This window comes from Homo sapiens, chromosome 2 (assembly GCF_000001405.40).
Source record: "Homo sapiens chromosome 2, GRCh38.p14 Primary Assembly".
Lineage (NCBI taxonomy): Eukaryota > Metazoa > Chordata > Mammalia > Primates > Hominidae > Homo > Homo sapiens.
The window spans coordinates 12,443,134-12,463,621 of NC_000002.12; the positions used below are offsets into that span (position 1 = coordinate 12,443,134).

General features: G+C 38.3%; 2 long non-coding RNA genes across 2 annotated transcripts in view; one reads left to right on the forward strand and one right to left on the reverse strand.

The window, feature by feature from the left end:
• MIR3681HG (MIR3681 host gene) overlaps positions 1-20,488 on the forward strand; it is a 571,233-nt gene that overhangs the window by 436,018 nt on the left and 114,727 nt on the right. The window lies entirely within an intron of this gene.
• Positions 2,023-20,146, reverse strand: LOC105373431 (uncharacterized). The gene is made up of 3 exons (XR_922805.3): positions 20,111-20,146; positions 6,059-6,300; positions 2,023-2,767 (listed from the first exon to the last, which is right to left on the reverse strand). It is a non-coding gene; the product is annotated as an uncharacterized LOC105373431 (long non-coding RNA).

Below are 20,488 nucleotides of genomic sequence, written 5' to 3' on the forward strand. Positions count from 1 at the left end.
ACATCTGGCTAAGAGCTGGCACATAAGCTGTTTTTAAAATGAGCCATCTTGGCCTGGTGTGGTGGCTCATGCCTATAATCCCAGCACTCTGGGAGGCCGAGACAGGCAGATCACCTGAGGTCAGGAGTTCGAGACCAGCCTGGCCAACATGGCGAAACCCTGTCTCTACTGAAAATACAAAAAAAAAATTAGCCAGGGATGGTGGTGCACATCTGTAATCCCAGCTATTCAGGAGGCTGAGGCAGGAGAATGGCTTGAACCCAGGAGCCGGAGGTTGCAGTGAGTCAAGATTGTGCCACCGCCCTCCAGCCTGGGTGACAGAACGAGACCCTCAAAAAAAAAAAGCCATCTCTGTGTCACAGAAAGTTCAGTCCCTAGAATTTCTGTTCTAGTAGATCCAGTCTGTTCAGACACCTATTTGGCTTAAGAGCCCCATTCTGTGTGGATTAAGGAAGGCTGTGCCCAACGTTATCATAGTGAGATCAGGGAGTAGAACCATGAATGTAAAGGAAGGAAATTCAATGCGCTGGCTACCTATCAAAGTCATAAACAAGTTTGATTAACAAGATGAACACGTCCTCCACTGCACAGATGGTGCCACATCTCCCGCTCAGCAAGGCTGACCTGAGGGATTTCCAGGTGTTTGTGTCAAGGCAAAGAGGGGCAAGAGAGAAAGATCAGGAACAAGTTGGCAAACATGCAGTTCTCCAGCCCACAGACTGCCTCAGTTTCCTACCCAAATGTGCTCATACATGCACACTTGTCACAAATCAAAAGATTGCCTGGGTAAAGATGAAATAATCTAAATGGCTATACTAAAATCAGCACAGATGAAGTGTTGTGCCTAGCACAACATATATACTCAGTACACGTGGTTTAATTTTTGAATCTGATTTTAATTCAGTCTAATAATAAAAAGACTAGCAAAATGATGCTATTTGGAAACAAATGATAATTAGATTGAAATTTGTATTTAATTCCTCAGAAGTATTTGGGCTTTGAAGAAAAAAAGTATTTAAAAAATACTTGTGTACTTTTCCTGTGTATATTGCTGTGCTAAATTTGAGAAAATAGAGATAAAAAGATAAATTTACCTTCTTCAAGTACCTTTGAGTCAGATGAGGGAAACAAATCTCAAAACAAATGCATTCAAACATTCGTTAGAGTTGCTGTCATAGGCTTTTCTAAAGGGAACAATGGAAGTACAAAGAGGGAGTCATCAATGTTAACTTGATAGGTCGGGAAAGTCTCAAAGAGATAATAAATGGTATGAGTTTTGAAGGATAAGTTAGTGCTCGATGGTGAATATCAGCACACATACTCATAAGACTGATTTGTGGTATAATATGCATGGACTGTAGTTGTAATAAAGAAAAACATCTCCAAACAAATGAATTTCTCTGGGGATGTGGAGAAATTATGCCAGAGAAAATATCAGATATGTAACACTTGATTCAATGTAATTGATTCATTAAACAAAGAATCTTACTGACATCTTCTGATTTCATGGTTTCAGCTTAGATTTGGATATTGGTGAACGAAAAGAGCTTCATTATAACATCACAGACAATAACTTCCCATGTGTCTCCTAGCTTAGTGATTCAACTTAGCTTAATGGAAAGAGAAATGGACTTGGTATTTGAAATACTTGATATGTATCCTTTCCTGATTGTGTTTCACTGGGGAAATACCTGGGACTTAGTTTTTCATCTGTGAAATGGGAAGAAAAGTAACAAAAAATTATTAGTATAATATAAAAATAATAACAAAATAAGGTGGTAGCCACATAATAGTCTATAAGATGGCATAGTGACTTACCATATTAATAAAGCCTATTAAGAATCTAATGACTATTGCTATTTCCAAAAATGAAATTCACAAGTTATTTAAAAACTATGAAAATTTACTGTTCCTTATGAACACTCAAAACACTTTTTCTAGAGTCTGACAGTAAATTAAAAATAAAGTTTTTAATGGCAAAACGGACCACGCCATGCTGTCATCTTGTCTTCCTCTTTACTAATTCCTTACTATGTAGATAAAAAGAATGGATTAAAGAACATTTGGAAATAAAGTACATTCTCTTTTGTATTATGTGGCCTCAAATAAATATATATATTTTTAAAAAGCCCAAGAAGTGTGCAAAATATTCTCACTTTGGTATTAGATTTAACTTCCAGAATCCAAATACATTTTCATTCTCCTACTCAAAGTCCTTGTGCAGCTTTCCATGTCACAAACAGGTAAACTCAGGCCTTTACAGGTGTTCTTTGGCAGTGATAGAGTATTCCTCCCTGTCCAAACTGTGGTTCTGGAAGGGCCAGCTGGTGAGCAACCAGTCCGCAGCACTTGTTGTGAGTTCAGTAGTTGGCTGAGCCCCTGGGTTTGCTCTGATGTTGGCTGGCTGGGTACCCCAATGACTCCTGCTTAGGTGGTCACAAGATGCATCTTCCGGCCAGGTAATTCTTCAATTTAGGATCTGTAGTGGATCAAGGCTGCAGGCTGGTCTCCGCAGTTACGCAGCGTCATTGCTCAAGCCACGTGGGACCAGAGACCATGCTCCTTCAAAATACACAATTGAGGATTGCCTCCCTGTCTGTGTGGAGCCAGGGGGTGGGCTCTTGGCTGAGTTCAGTGGCTGCTTGACCTCTTGGATAAAGCAGGTCTTGCCCCTGTGCTTCTCCAAAATCTGCAGAGGTAGGAGTCTTCCTGCCTGGGCAGGGTTGCTGTGTGCTTTCTGGCTCAATTCTCGTGGTTTGACACATAGCTGAAATGTTAGCCAAATAAAGAATTCAGCAGTGTATGGTCTTTGAAGAACCAGAAGAATGCCTCATACAAAAGGGCTCCCTTCAGGTATTTATTTTAGGTTAACATTCATGATATATCCTAGGGCCTTAACTACATTGGTTTGTATGTGGGTTGTTTTGTGTGTGAATGTGTGAGATACATTTATATCTATTTCTAGAAAGATAAATATACATGACTCAATAGTATAAACTAATGTGTATGTGCATTTGAGGGGAGCAACTGATATTTAAGAGAAATAATTACAAAACATTTAAGATTGATTAGGTTACACTGAGTTGCAATATGGTTAAACAACACATAGTTTATGTCTTTAAATGACATTGTTTTATTTTGATAACTCATATGTGGGGGGAATATTTTGTTATGTTACTAACCATTGTGGTCCTTTTTCAAGAATATGTCCCATTAGCCTATTGACCTCCTGCATCTAGGAAGCCAATTCTATTCCAGCAGAATGCAGAGAGAAAAAGATCTAGGTGACCTAGGGACAAAAGAAAAGATTCAGAATGGGGCCGGGCGCAGTGGCTCAAGTCTGTAATCCCAGCACTTTGGGAGGCTGAGGTGGACGGATCACGAGGTCAGGAGATCGAGACCATCCTGGCTAACACAGTGAAACCCCGTCTCTACTGAAAATACAAAAAAATTAGCTGGGTGTGGTGGCGGGGGCCTGTAGTCCCAGCTACTCGGGAGGCTGAGGCAAGAGAATGGCGTGAACCTGGGAGGCGGAGCTCGCAGTGAGCTGAGATTGTGCCACTGCACTCCAGCCTGGGTGACAGAGTGAGATTCTGTCTCAAATTTAAAAAAAAAGATTCAGAATGGTATTTAGCTGGTTAGATATAATTCGTCATCCTCTCGGTCAATTATTAGATACAGATTGCCTGGCCTGGAAAGATAGGAAGGAACAGAACAGAAGAAGGATGAAGGCAGAGAAGCTGGGGATTCCCAGGAGAGGAATGGATGAAGCGTCTTTGAGAAGAACTGAGTAACTGAGGGTAGAAGAGAGTCAGTGCCAAAGGCCAAAAAGAGGGCAAGGCCTTGATTTTCCCTGTGAATGAGGTGGTCAGAGAAAGAATATCAGACGGGTTTACTGAGGCAGAAAGCTCCAGATCAGTTTTATAAAATCTACTTGCCCGGAGTGACATGGGAAAATACAAAATATTTTCTCTGGGCCTAAGAGTTGTTCAGATAGAATCCAAGAGCGAGCAGACAACAGGGCTCTCACCGGGTAAGAACAAGCACATTGTCACTTATGCCAGTATGGAGAGAGGGCAAGGGCCAATGACAATTGCGGCGCTCTGAATGTTTGTATTCTACCACCCCCATTCATATGTTGAAACCTGATTTCCAGTGTGATAGTACTGAGGTGGGATAATTGGGAAGTAATTGGGTTCCTTATAATGGCATTAGTTTCCTTACAAAAGAGCTCAGAGGAGCTTGTCCCTTCCCTTTTGCCATGTGAGGACACATAGCAGGTGCCTCCTAGGAGAAACAGACCCTCATCAGACATCTAATCTGCTGGTTCCTTGATCTTGGACTTTGCAGCCTCCTGAACTGTGAGCAGTAAATTTCTGTTGTTTATAAATGATGCATTCTTTAAAAAAATTTTTTTTTAATTTCCATAGGATATTGGGGAAAAGGTGTTATTTGGTTACATGAGTAAGTTCTTTGGTGGTGATTTGTGAGATTTTGGTGCATCCATCACCTGAGTAGTATACATTGCCCCCAATTTGTACTGTTTTATCCCTCACCCCCTTCTAATCATAGAAATGCAAATCAAAATCATAATGCGATATCACCTTACTCCTGCAAGAATGGCCATAATCAAAAAATCCAAAAATAATAGATGTTGGCACAGATGCGGGGAACAGGGAACACTTCTACACTGCTGGTGGGAATGTAAACTAGTACAACCCACTATGAAAAGTAGTGGTAGATTCCTTAAAGAACTAAAAGTAGAACTACCATTTGATCCAGCAATTCCACTACTATCTACCCAGAGGAAAAGAAATCATTATACAAAAAAAGATACTTGCACACTCATGTTTATAGCAGCATAATTTGCAGTTGTAAAAATGTGGAACCAATCCAAATTCCCATCAATCGAGTGGGTAAAGAAATTGTGGTATTTACATATGATAGAATACTACTTAGCCATAAAAAGGAATGAATTGATGGCATTCACGGCAACCTGGATGAGACTGGAGACTATTAATCTAAGTGAAGTAACTCAGGAATGGAAAACCAAACATTGTATGTTCTCACTTATAGGTGGGAGCTAAGCTATGAGGATGATGCAAAGGCATATGAATGGACTTTGGGGACTCAGGGGATAAATGATACATTCTAAGGCATTTTGCTGTAGCTGCCTGAATGAACTGAAACAACAATGAAGATGGGACCTATTAGCTCTTTCCAGTACTATCAATGGCTTAGAGCAGTGTATGTGCCTGCTAATTTAGAAAGAGCACCAGGATGAGGGTAGGAGAGCCACTGAATAGACTTAAATTAAATGTCCACTACCTGGTAGAATGGAAATTTGCAAATATGCGTAATAAGTTTGGGTATAGACAGATTAAGTAATTGAATTTGTTTTATTCTTGAGTTTTTGAACTTGGTACTTTTCAATATATCTACATGGGATGGATAGATAAATAGAGATATCAGTATATCTAGATATTAATATGTCTATATAAATCAATATATACCGATCTATATATGAATAAATTAATGTGTCTACATAGGATATCATTTTTTATTTAAATAAAAAAAGTTTGAACTAAATAATATATGAGTTCCCCTTCAGTTATGGCAATCTAGAATCTTGATTCCATAAATGAGAGCTTTATAACCTGAATGTATTTATTTTTATCTTATGTAGAAGCCAAGATATTCTGAAGATTCTTGTAAACCCATTCTTCAATTAAATTCCTCCACCTAGCTTCAACTACAATAAAATACATGCACGGCATACACATACCATTTAAGTAAAATCTTAAAATCCAAACGCTACAGCATGGCTTCTGCAGTTGGGCCCCTATTATCTCTGTATCACCTTCTGCTCTTGTGTCAGTCACTGGCCCTTCTGGTCTGGGAACAACTGTATCAGCACTTGTGTTGGAGCCTTTGACCTTGTTACTTCCTCTGTCTGGAGTGACATTCCCTTAATGCTGCATAAAAGGTTGCTTCTCTTCTTTGAGATCTCAGGACAAATATCACCATTTGTGCAAGGCAATCGTATTGACTGACATACCTGCCCTCTGCATCTTTTTCTTCTTTAACACAAGGCCCTGTCTTGTGTCCATGTCCAAGGCTGCTTGGTTTGGGCATTGCCAATGGCTGCAGGCTGGGAGGATGAGTGTGGGTTGAAATCTGACTCACAGATTCCTCCTGAGCTCTAGAGGAACATCTTCTTTGTATTAGTAAGAGGCAGTATTGAGTAGACAAGCCTTTCATCGCAGTGGGAGTGGTATTTTTCTTCTCTGTTTTGTCCTCCTAGAGGAGACAGTTGTTTTTAATTCATATAATGGCCTATGAACTAGCATGTATTATCTTATATTTTTGTGTTTGGTTTGCTTATTTATTCATCTGCTCTGTCTTAACTTATTTATCATCTGCTTTTACCCAGTAGAATTTACATTCCACAAGGATATGGACCAAGTCTCTTTGGTTCATCTCTGTAATCACAGATTTTAGAATATTGCATGGCACAAATTAGTTGAGAGGATTAGATACCAGGACACCACCTCTATTCATAATTTAAAATATTATTAAATTCACATGCTATGACTTTCTAAGGAATGCCCACCATTTCTCATACTATCTATGAATTCCTTAAATGGACCTAAGTCTTGCTCCCCCACCAATGCCCCACATGTTCTGAGCACTCATCCTTTATTCTTTAGGTTTGCTTCGACCATAATGTTCTTCCTGCTCCCATCTATGCTTGAAGAAGTTCTACTTTCCTGGAGTAAATCTTGCATTTTCCAAGTAGGCTTCTTAGGTTTTGCCCCCATAAGTCTCCCTCCTTTTATGCTTACCAGAGAAATTTTCCAGTGCTCGGGAAATTCTCAGCAAAAAGCCCAGCCTATAGCAGATGCTTGACAAATGCCAGTTACCTTCTCCTGCATCTTGGAATTGTTGATCTAGCCCTTGTCTGTTTTTATAAGAGTAACTTATTTATAGATCATACATCCTCCTTCCCACTCCAACTATACAATTAACTTCTAGAGAAAAACTATACAATTAACTTCTAGAGAAAAAGGACTGTGGGCTTTACATCTTTGTATTACCTGCTAGGCACATGCTAAAAATACTGAATACTTTGTTTTTAGTAAAAAAAAAAAATAATGGCATAATTCTTAAATGCTTTAACAGTGGACCTCACAAGGACATGCATGGTGGTAGAGTTGGAGAACACCTGTGCACCCCTCATTATTCTGGTGCATAGACAAAGGTGGACTATTATACAGCAATTGGAAGTAATGAGTATGTGGCTGATGGCTGGACGTTAACAACATAGTGTGTGGTGAAAAAGAAACATAATGGGATATAAAAAATGCCACTTACAGGAATTAAGATGCATGCCTAAAAAATGATAGCACACACAGTGTATAAGGACACACAGACGTCAACATTAATCAGAATAGAATTGTTGCTGATAGTGGGGATAGGAGAATTAGGAGTAAGAAATGGTGAGAAAGGGAACTCAAAAAGTAAATAAACAAATACATTAACAAACAAAAATAGGACTGGGACCTTCCACATGCACTTGTTGATAGCAAGCCATGAACATAGAAGCGTGGTTAACACATGCCTCTGCCTTTGTTATATCCAAACAACAAGGGATAGCAAATACCATGAGAAACAATCGCAAATACCCTCTCAGGCAGCAGCCTCTGGTGCTCTCCTTTCTTCCCCACTCAGCCGGGGGATGGTGCCCATTCTTGGAGCATTTGGAGGTCCTCTGTTTACTTTCATCATCGGTCCTCTCTCAAGAAATTTCAGTCTTCTTTGCATTTGTTTGTGCAAACTTGGCAGAAAATGCTTGTCTTAATCTACTTTATATTTTGAGCAACTTGCACAGCACTAGATAAGTAGTAAGTGTCAATAAATATTTGTTAACTTCATAAATTGATGATGGAAAAAAAGAGGAGTATTGGACATAAATTGGTAGAACTCATCAGGCTTTGTCAAGCTGGTCCCAGGTGAGTGCACTCTCTCTTTCTTTTTATCTTGGTGTGTGTATGTGTGTGTGTGTATATATACATATATGTTAGTGTATTTTATAAATTTTTAATATATACTGTATATTTAATACTTAAACACATAATATTTTATAAATAATTTCCTTAGAGGAATTTATAAAATATGACACATTAAAGTATTAAGTATAGAATATAGATATTTAATACTTTAATAAATATTATATATTTAATATTTAAATGTATTATATATTAAGGAATTTATACAATGCTATATAGAGTATTTTAAAGCTTTGACTATTACTTTCTAAACCACCATTAGAAAACTCCTTTTTCTATGACTCCTTCAAATAAACAAACCATATTTATGCCTCCTCCCATGAAGTTTAAATTCAATGAACCTACCTATCCCAAACTCTACCAAACTGCTTTGAATTTTAAGATTGGAATCTCAATTTTGGTGTCCAAAAGTAGATCAAATCTGACATGAGGGTAAGAAGGCTGAGTGATGGGCATCTCGCATGCCATAAACACACAGGAGCTTTGAGTCCTTTATTTTGTTCTCTAACTTTAGCAAGTACTAGGCAAGAATACCTGAAAATATTTTTGTCCCAGGGCTATTTCTGCAGGTGTCAGGCAGCCTTGCAACTTTAGCTTAATGCCCTGGAGGTAGGAGATAAGCTATCAAACGGTTCAAAGGCAGTTAGGTCCCCTAATATGTGTTTTTGTCTGTGGTAAATGTATTTGCTTTCACTCTTTAATCTGAAAATACTTATCAGCGAAACAGCAGCCATAGAGTTGGGGCAATGGCAGATTAACAATGGTTTTACAAAAGGGTGTGTTGAAGTTTCCGTTCTGTAGTAACTGCATTCTTTTAACTGCTAGAAATGCCCTTTCATAACCCAGAGACGTCTTAATCATGTCTCCTTAAAGCTGTAGGATTTTCGATGAATTAAATATCTCATCATTTACTGCACTCACCAAACCTGAGGAAATTATTTTTGAAAAATCAAATCGAAACTGTGTTATATGTGAGCATGATGTTTATTTCAAATGTACAGCTCTACTGTCCTTCTATATTTAAAGAAAGATGTCTAGCAATTACAATAACTTGACTCAAGAATCAAATATTTAGGGCAGCAAACTGTGTCTATTTCAGGGCTTGCAGCTGACGTACATTCTTAGGATATACAGGATAAACACAGTATTTCATTTCAAGTTCCTAAAAAGGGAAGTGACCATGAGCAGGATGAAAATGCTTTGTTACCACACATCATATGCGCTTGCAGCTAGCTGGAGTTTGGGCAGCTGAACTGGGCCATTAATAAAAGTCTGACACAGCCTGTGACTGAAGACATTTAAAAGGTTAACATATTTCAGTCTTTCACAGAGGCATCAAGAAATGTACATCCATAGAGTTATTAATACATTAGTTGAGCCTGTAATTATTATCCTAATGGCTCTTATCAAAAACAGCAAGAGGTAGGCAAGAAATGGATAATTACAGGATGAGCAGAGGGAGATGGCCTTTTTTTTTTTTTTTTTTTTTTTTTTTTTTCAAAAAGCTTTCCATCAGCATAATGACCAGAGTATCTGGGACTCATTCTGAATTGCATTAACCAGATGATGTGATTATTAAGTAACTTACTTAATTAGCTCTGTTCACCAAAGGTTAGTGCAATCCAGCTTCCCCATCCCTCCCCACTACCTGCCCCAGGTAGAAGCTGCCCTCCTTCCCTTCCAATAAACAGCCATGCATCCTCTTCGACCAAGCCTGAAAGTATCATTGTTTCCATGACATTTTCCTTAACTCTATGAAAGGAAACTGTCTCCCCATCCATCCATCCATCCATCCATCCATCCATCCATCCATCCACCTACATAATTTTCTATGTCTTTCCAAAATGGATCTGAGTTGGCTGTCAGCGGACCATTTACTAAAATAAGATTTTTAAAAATCTAGTGATAAAAATAAGGGAATAAAGAGAAAGTAAGAGAGAGAGCAGAGAAGAGACACTCTGGAGCACAGTCAGTGTGCAGAATGAATGCCATATGGTTCTACAGGGTTACCACAGATTGTACCCACATTTGTCTTTTCTCTCCTTTATAGCTAAGACAAAGAAAAACTACATATATTATCACTTGTAAAGTCAACTGGTCCTTAAGGCAAAAATGAACCAGTGGCTGAGAAGAAGCACAGCTTTTCTTTTCTTTTTTTTTTTTTTTTTTCTAAAATCAAGATACTGCTTGTCCCACGTCTTCATAGGGCAGCCACCATGTGAAGCTGTGCATGTCACCTTCCATGGTGTCCCCACCACCGACACAGTGGCACATTTCTTAGGGCTGTCTGGGGGCAGCTGGTGGCATAACATTAACTTGAAAACCAGTAAAGGAAAATTAATGAAAGACCAAAATGGAAAAGTCCCTTAGTACCTTTGATTATTGCAGTTTAAGCAATTATTGTAGTGTTTCTTGTTTCTTGTTTAGTTTTCTATCTTTGCGTTAAGTCAATTCCTTAAGACAAAAATAATAGGATTTTATTCACCTGTGAATCTATAGAGATGAATAGTGCCTGGAACTGTTAATATTTCTCAAATGAATTAAATAATGTGCTGTAAATACAGGATTTTTTTTTTGTTTATCGCTTTGCTTTTTTTTAATTAAAGAAAATGCCCTTTCTTGGAGTAATCCTAAAAAGTTGAGAAGGTGGATTAGAATAATCAGCAGAGAGGCCTCGGAGAGTTATCCCGGCAGAGAAGCCTCGGGGAGGTGTCCCGGCGGGGGAGCCTCGGGGAGGTGTCCCGGCGGGGGGGCCTCGGGGAGGTATCCCCTTTTTGCTGTTTATGTTTATGGTGCCAGCTCATGCAAGGGATGCTGTAATGGTTAATTTTATGTGTCAACTTGTCTGGGTCACAGTGCCCAGATATGTCATAGAACATTATTCTGGATGTTTCTGTGAGGGTGTTTTCGGTGAGATTTAAAATGCTGGACTTTGAGTAAAGCTCATGGTGCTCCACATTTATAAGTGGGCCTCAACCAACCAACTGAAGGACTGAATAGAATGTAAGACTGATAAGACTGACTTTCCCTTCTCCCAGCAAGAAGGAATTCTCTGGAAGACTGTCTTTGGACTCAAACTGAAACTCTTTCCCGTTTTCAGCCTGCCAGCTTCCCCTATCAAATTTTGGACTCTCCAAGCCCCCACAATCATCAGAGCCATTTCTTAAAATAAATCTCATTTTTATATATCTACATCTTCATCCTATAGTTTCTGTTTCTCCAGAGAACTAATAAAATGCATCCACTCACTGGTCATCTGTAAGGAGGCTACACTTCTTTTTTTTTCTTTTCTTTTTTATTTTATTTTATTTTATTTTTTTTGAGACGGAGTCCCGCTCTGTTGCCCAGGCTGGAGTGCAGTGGCGTGATCTCAGCTCACTGCAAGCTCCACCTCCCGGGTTCACGCCATTCTCCTGTTTCAGCCTCCCAAGTAGCTCATACTACAGGCGCCCGCTACCACGCCTGGCTAATTTTTTTTTTTTTTTGTATTTTTAGTAGAGACGGGGTTTCACTGGGTTAGCCAGGATGGTCTCGATCTCCTGACCTCGTGATGCGCCTGCCTCGGCCTCCCAAAGTGCTGGGATTACAGGTGTGAGCCACCACTTGAGTGTCCTCTCTTGCCTTGACACATCCCACGTTTCATCCCAATCATCACAGCCGCTGCTGATAACTTTGTAGCATGTGGCTGAGAGTCTTCTTTGGAAATGCAGCAGATCCATTGTAAATAGGAATCCAACTAATGAGAAAGCAAGACCATGGAAAGCCAGAGCCATGAAGGCGTGGAAAACCAATTCACTCAGTCCTGCTACTCCTGTTTCTTGCTCTGAAGAGAGGCCTAGGAGTGGCTACTTTAAGCCGGAAGTGCACAGGCTTTGCAGTCGGGCAAAGGAGGATGCGCAGTGGCATTTAAGGACCGATAACTAGGAGTTGGAAGGGTATCAGGCCATCCCAGGGGATGTTACAATGGAGAGAGGTAAACATAAAAGCCACATGCGTGGCTTTTTACCCAAGCATGGCACTAATTAAGAACATGGAACACAAAAACAATCTCTGGAATTTTACAGGTTTCAGGAGTGTAAGTCCCCAATTGATGAGATTAAGTTTCTACCATGTAGCAAAACAGAGGTTTGAAATGAATATTGCCCATGTACAGAAAATACAATTACATTCTTGCAAAATTGATTTTTTGCAGGCTGAGATTAATATCTGCTCCAAAACTTAATATTGTAGAGTAAATGGTGACACATCATTAGTACTTAGATTACATATATTAACATATTAATATAGATGAGTATCATAAAATAACATACTTATATATAATGGTAAATAAGAAAAATATAAAGCTGAGTGACGATGTAGAATAAACCACTGGTTCTGTGGGCAAACAAAACTGTATTTGAATCCCAGATTCATGACTTGACCCGGGAACTTCAGGCAGGTACTAATATTTTCTTAGGTAGTGGTTGCATTTTAATCTGTAAAATGGAGACAATCTTTTGACCTTGGAGGAATTTTGTCAGAAATAAATTTGATTAAAAATCTAAATCATTGAGTCCAGTTTCTGACCAAATAGTGCTCAGCAGATGGTGTTTCCTGGATTCTGTCCCAGTGTGTAAAATATGTATGAATGAGGAGGACGCCTGGAAGGAAATAAATAAAACCGAAAACACATTTGTTGGGGTGATGAAATGATGCATGATTAATTTTTCACTTTTCAAAAATTTCTGCAATGTTGCATCATTCTTTTAACAATAATATATATACTATATATATACATACATATATATATACTATATATACACATACATATATACTATATATATACATATATACTATATATACACATACATATATGTACGTGTGTGTGTATATATATATTATATAATATATAATATATATAATATATTATATAATATATAATATATTATATATTATATAATATATATAATATAATATATATATATTATATATATAATATATAATATATATAATATATATAATATATATAATATATATATAATATATATATAATATATAATATATATAATATATATTATATATAATATATATATCTGAGAAAGCTTTTCACCAAGCTCTACAGTCCACAAAGTAAACAGAGGAATGTGTCAGATAAATTTGGCTTCTCTCTCTGACCCTGCTGCCTTACACAGAGAGGGGCGGAGCAACGGGGGAGCCCAAGCACTTCCTTTTTGGTTAATCAGCCTGACCCACTGATTGCGACACTCCAGAGCCTCATGCTTTTCTCAGCCTTTAAGTATCTTTCTGAATTGCTGTCCAAGGGCAAATTTTTCCTGTCAAACAGACCTGCAAGGTTGCTAGGCACATACAAGGAAAAAGAGATTCTGGTTACTCAATACTTGTTTTGCAAAGTCTGTTTAAAAAAAATTGCATCATATCTCATTTGATGATTGTGCAATGCAGGGTGGATACCTAAACTGAAAGTTAAGTAAGACTGAGCTGTCGGCACCTTTGCAATTGAGACATCCATTTATACGCCAGTGGAAAATATTCAGTTGTTATTAGTTTTAAGTAAAAAAAAGGGGGATAAAGCCAATGAAAATAGACCCCAATGCTCCCTGCACAGATAAAATACACACAGAAAATTTCCTATCCTGTTTCTTCTCAGGTATTTGGTACATTATGCTCCTGTGATGAATATAAATAGGATTAGTCTTTGGATCCTGCCAATTCACCTGGGGTTGTCTTTTAGTACAAAGAGTACCGATTAGGGAATTGCCCAATCTGGATGCAAATCCTGATGACTGGCAAATGACTTAATCTCGCTGAGTGGGATTTTCTTCCTCTTTATGATGAGGATGGTAATAGGAAGTCAGAAATTAGTGGAGAATAACTGTAAAGGACTGAGGCTATAGCCTGGCATGCATAGGGGATCAATACATATTAGTTCCCTTCCAACTCTTAATTTTCCTCATCTTAAACTGCTCGCCGTAATGGGTCCTGTTTCATGCTCACTTATCAAACATCATTCCGCCCCAGGACCTACATTAATACTTGGGGTGGGGTCAACAGATACAGGGAAGAGTCAGCCATGGGCACTGCCCTTCACATGCTCACAGTTTATTGGTAGAAGAGGCACATCTGTGAGTGGATTCTGGAAATAGCAGATGGCAGGGCATCATAAGGGAGAAGTTTATGGAGCCTGGGGAGGCAGGTATGGAGGGAGATTGAAGAAGGAGAAATACTTCTACACTCAGAGGTGCCAGAAATCACTGTGCAAGAGCTGGGCTTCCATCTAATGGTGTACTATAAGCAAAGCACAGTCCTAGGGAATTTGAGCTGTGTCCCTAAAAACAAAACCATCAGCTCATAGTCTGTTTACACAGTTGCTTCTCTAGTTGGTGTTTCTCTAACTTTGGGGCATCATTCACCCTCTGCAAATGTCCGTTTCCTCAACCTCCAAACATGGTCAACATTCCATGCTTCTTGAGTATGTGTTCTGAGGGAAGAGTTGGCAGTGCAAGAGAATGGGACAGGATGGGGAAAGGGAATTAGTGTTCAGTGATATAATTGACATGAAATTGGTTAAATATAAAATCTTGGGAAAACGTGAGACATTATTATGGTGCATAATTACATGCTTAATACAAGAGATGTGGGTTTTGAATCAGACAAAGGACTCAATGTTTTGCACAGATTCAACACTGGTACTTTGAGTAAACTGGATACTTCTTTGTTGATCTAAAGGGAAGAAACAGACAATCCCCAGTCGAGAGTTTCCACAAGCAGTTGAAGTGCATTGCTCAGCCGCAGCTCATTCCCTCACCCAGCACATGCTCTGTTACACTTTCTACTGTCTTTGGCACAGAAAGTGCACACACATATTCTCAAAGGGAAAATGCCATGCAAATGACACATTTTTCACAAGATGTGGAATTTCTTGTGTCTGTGATAGGCCTGAAGGCTCAGAGATAGGTACGATTTTTAAAATTGTTGTCATAGAACAAATAAACTTGAACTGAAGCCTCTATCCAAACACACCTGACACCTAGAAATTGGGAACCTTTGGCATCAGTCCAGCAATAGCAGTTTTTTGGGTGCTTGACGGCACTTTAAACTCAAAGTTAATTTAGCAAGTGTGTTTCCAGAAATGACAGAAAAGGACTGTCATAGGACTTTGAAATTTTAACCTGCAAATTTCAGATACGGTTGTTAATAGAAAAATTCTTATAAAAGTAGCATAATAATCCTTTTAGGGCTTAAATTTTTTTATTCAAAATATCAAATGATATTATTTATAGATAACATTAACTCAGTCATTCACAAATACTAGAGATATTTGTTTATTTTTCCCCATTATTATTTTATGTATTCAATCTTTTTTGTCTTACTATGGCTTTCTTGATATTTATTTTATATTTTGGTTATAACACCACAATGATTTATTCTTTTCTTTTGCCAAGTTGTTCCAGCTTCTGCCGCTGGGAACTCTTTCAGTTGGTTCCTGTGTTCCTCTAAAACACCCCATCAATGTGTGTGTGTGTGTGTGTGTGTGTGTGTGTGTGTGTGTATTAAGCATTTCTACTTTCTGGCATTACAAGATGCTCCAAGCTCATTTTGTGCATTCCCTACTCCAGTGCTAGAACCAGCCATATCTCCAAGAAGCCCTGGTTCTTTTTCTTCAAGAATGGTTTTAGAGGCCAGGCGCAGTGGCTTATGCCTGTAATTCCAGCACATTGGGAGGCCGAGGCGGGCGGATCACGAGGTCAGGAGATCGAGACCATCCTGGCTAACATGGTGAAACCCCATCTCTACTAAAAATACAAAAGAATTAGCCAGGCTTGGTGGCACATGCCTGTAGTCCCAGCTACTAGGGAGGCTGAAGCAGGAGAATCGCTTGAGCCAGGGAGGAGGAGGTTGCAGTGAGCCAAGATTACGCCACTGCACTCCAGCCTGGGTGACACAGCAAGACTCCATCTCAAAAGAAAAAAAAAAAAGAATGGTATTAGAACCCCAAATCTGGGCACTAGTTATACTCATTCAATTGGGGTGTCATTGTTTCTACACCCTCTTGGCCAACAGAGCAAGGAGACGTACATGTGTATACCAACCCACTTATATAAACATATCTGTATATATTTCTACATTTAACTATCTGTATCTATACTAAGCTAAACATGAGTTTGCACTCATGTCTCCAACTCTAATCTATTGCCACATGGATGATTCTAGCTTTTTCCTTTTGCTTGTCTACTTCAACAGTTAAAAAACGAGGCCTCCACAATCCACCATCCATTTACCAATGGCTCAATTTTTGTATATATTTATAACTGTATCAGTATTATTAACCTGTAGCCTCACTGGAAACTACTTTATCAACTAGAGTATAGGTCTTATGTACAGTTGCTTTTGCCTTTGTTCTTGTAGTAATCACTCATTTCCAAAGTTGATTAGGGTAGCATCTTCCTTCACCTTCCCTGTAGCCTTCAGTGAGATTATCTCATACATTTGAAATACAACTAGATTATCTTTGTGACAGTCTGCATTTCCTGCTAGAACTAAGGTTGCTGAACCAACCTCCTATATGATTTCTTTTTCAAAATTGTATACATTCAGTTCCATTCTCTGTGCTGTGAATTTCCATGGGTTTTGATCATACATAACGTAAAATAGTCATCCTTCCAGTATCATACAGAATAGTTTCCCCTACCTAAAATATCCCCTTGCTTTATTTCTTTAACCCTCCTCCCTACCCAAAACCCTGGAACACTGACTTCTTACCATCTCTGAAGTTTTGCCTTTTGCAAAAGATTATGTAAACTTAAGTTTATAGTATTTATCCTTTTTTCAGATTGGCTTCTTCCACTTAATGACACACAGAGAAGATTAATTCTTTATTTGTGGCATGGCTTTGATAGAACATTCCTTTTATTGCAAAATATTATTTCATATTATTCCACTGTATGAATGTACCTAAGTTTATTTTTTCATTTACTTACTGAAAGACATCTTGGTTGCTTCCAGTTTTTGCTGAATATTTAAGGGGCAGTTTGGGAGACTGAGACAGGAAGATCACTTGAGGCCAGGAATTTCAGACCAACCTGGACAGCAAAGTAAGACCCCATCTCTAGAAAAAAACGAAAAAAATTCGCTGGGCACACTAGTATGTTCCTGTGGTCCCAGCTACTTGGGAAGCTGAGGTGGGAGGGTCACTTGAGCTCAGGAGGTCAAGGCTGTAGTGAACCCTGGTAATGCCACTGCACTCTGGATTGACTAATAGAGCAAGACCTTGTCTCTCTCAAAACATAAATGAAAACAAAAAACAGCTTTATGACAATAACAGCTTTAAAAACCCATCCATCTAGAATTCACTAGAGTGAGCAGAATGGGTTTAAAGCTCCCTGAAAGCCCCATTCTCTGATAATTATAATTTTCCCTGTCTGGGAGCTCTGTAAAATGCTCTATTCACATTTTAGAAGGGCTTCTCTTCATTTTACCTAATGTAGGGCTTGCTTTAGAAAACAATGTTATACCTGGGAAATTTGTTGCAAACAGTAAATGGTGATTGTTTAACATCACAGTTGCATGAGGCAGTAATATAAGTTGGGTCTGAAAAAAGGCTGACCAAAAAAATTTAAAAAGAAAAGCCAGAGAATGGTATGTTCATAGAGAGCTTTGAAAAGTTTCTATATACCTTATTTCTGGTTAACACTAAAAATCTGCACAAGCAGAAAGTAGGGCCTAATCAGAGTTGTAAATTGCCTGTCATAAAACTGAAAATTTTCACCACACTACGTACTAACATACAGCCCCTTAGCAAAGGCTGGGAGCCTTATTGGTTCAAGGCACTTAAGACAATGCCTGCCAAACATTAGCTGAACAATGAGTTAGCCCAATTGGAGACATCAGTGGCTATGCTTGACAAAAAATATAGACATTACAAATTAATACAAGAAAGTCACTAAACAAACAGTGATGACAACAACAACAACCAATAATAACAACAAAGTCAGGGAAGGGATTGGAGGTCTGAATTTGCTGCATTATGTTATTTAACATGTCCATCTTGCAACAAAATAATTGTGAGACATGCAAGGACACAGGAAAGACCCTCAGGAAGCCCAGATATTGGACTTACTAGACAAAGACTTTAAATCAGCTATTGCAAATAGATGAAAAAAAGAGAAAGGAAATCTGGTATAAAGAAGTAAAGAGAAGTATGAGAATGATGTCTTACTAAGTTGAGACAACAAATAAAGAGATAAAAATTATAAAATAAATACCAAATATAGATTTGGGAGTTGAAAAGTCCAATATTTGAAATTAAAAATTCACTAGAGAGGCTCAACAGCAAATGTGAGCTGGTAGAAGGAAGAATTGATTAACTTGAAGATTGTTCAATTGAGATGATCCATGTGAAGGAATCAAAACAAAACAAAAAGAGAAAAATAAACATGTGGGATAACATCAAGCAGACCAATATGCACATTATGACAATCAAAATGAAGAAGAGAAAGGGAAAGCATACTTAAAGAAATAATGACCATAGCCCTCCAAATTTGATGAAAAACATTAATCTAAAAATTCAAGAAATTTAACAAACTCCAGATGGAATTAACTCAATGAGATTTACACTTGAAACACATCATAAACTATCAAACCTGAGAGGCTCATTGAAGTAGCGAGAGAAAGACAACTAGATGTATACAAGGGATTCTCAAGGTATTCTCTAATATAATTCTCTTATCTTCTTCATATAAGCCAGAAGGCAGTAGAAATGACCTTCTAAGTGCTGAAAGAAAAAAGGCAATTAATCAAGAATTGTATGCCTGCAAAACTATCCTTCAAAAACAAAAGACAAATTAAGACATTCACAGACAACCAAAAACTGAAGAATCTGTTATTAGTAGAACTTCTCTACATGAAATAGTAAAGGTTAATTCTTTAGACTGAATTGAAAAGTCACTAAACCAGTAACTCCAGTCTATATGAAGACATGAAGTACATGGTTGAAAATAACTTGCTAAGATAAATGTAAAAGACAGTAAGAATTTTTTGTTTGAAACTCTTTTTTTTTTTTGAGATGGAGTCTGGCTCTGTCGCCCAGGCTGGAGTGCAGTGGCGCGATGTTGGCTCACTGCAAGCTCCGCCTCCCGGGTTCACGCCATTCTCCTGCCTCAGCCTCCCGAGTAGCTGGGACTACAGGCACCCGCCACCACACCGGGCTATTTTTTTGTATTTTTAATAGAGACGGGGTTTCACCATGTTAGCCAGGATGGTCTCGATCTCCTGACCTAGTGATCTGCCCGTCTCGGACTCCCAAAGAGCTGGGATTACAGGCATGAGCCACCGCGTCTGGCCTGAAACTCTTTTATTATTTAAAAAACACCTGCATAAAACAATAATTATAAAACTGTGTTTATGTATTTTATGTGTAAGATAATTTATATGACAATAATAGAACAAAGGAGGTTGGAAGAAACAGAGCTCTATGAGACCAAGTATTGTGTTTCAATGAAATTAAGTTGGTATTAATCCAGACTAGATTGTTTCAAATTAAGATGTTAATTATAAGTGGCAGAAAAACCACTAAGGAAAAAAATACACACATCATGTGTCTTAGGAGACACTCAAAAGAACACAAAAAAGAAGTGGACAAGAAACACTGAAAATTTGAGACAAACAGTAAAACAAAATGGTAGAAATAAATCTAAACATATCAGTGATCATGACAAACGGGCTAAGTGCTCAAATTAAAATAAAGATTGTTAAACAGGATTAAAGGAGTCCAGTGGTATATTCTTTCATAGAAGGATATAAACAGTAGGAGGTTAAATAAATGTTAAAATTAAAGCAATAGGAAAAGAAAGATAACAGCCAAATGAAAGCCAAAGAATAACTGCGATAACTACAATAATACCAAACAAAATTGACTTTAAGATAAAAGCATCACTAAAGATAAAGGCAGTCAGTAATTAATTGTATTAGTCCGTTCTTACATTGCTACAGATACACTATCTGGGACTAGGTAATCTATAAACAAAAAGGTTTAATTGACTCACATTTCCTCATGGTTGGGGAGGCCTCAGGAAACTTACAATCATTGCTGGAGGCAAAGGGGAAGCAGGCACCTTATCCACAAGGCAACAGGAGAGAGAGAGAGAGAGAGAGAGAGAGAGACAGAGAGAGAGAGAGAGGAAGAGAGACAGAGAGAGAGAGAGGAAGTGTCGCACTTTAAAACCATCAGCTCTCATGAGAACGTACTCACTATTACGAGAACAGCATGGGGAAGACTGTCCCCATGATCCAATCACCTCCCAAAAGGTCCTTCCCCCAACACGTAGGGATTACAATTAGTGATAAGATTTGAGTGCGAACACAGAGCCAAACCATATCATAAATATTCAAATGTCTATTTTGAACTTGTTTACAGCTAATCT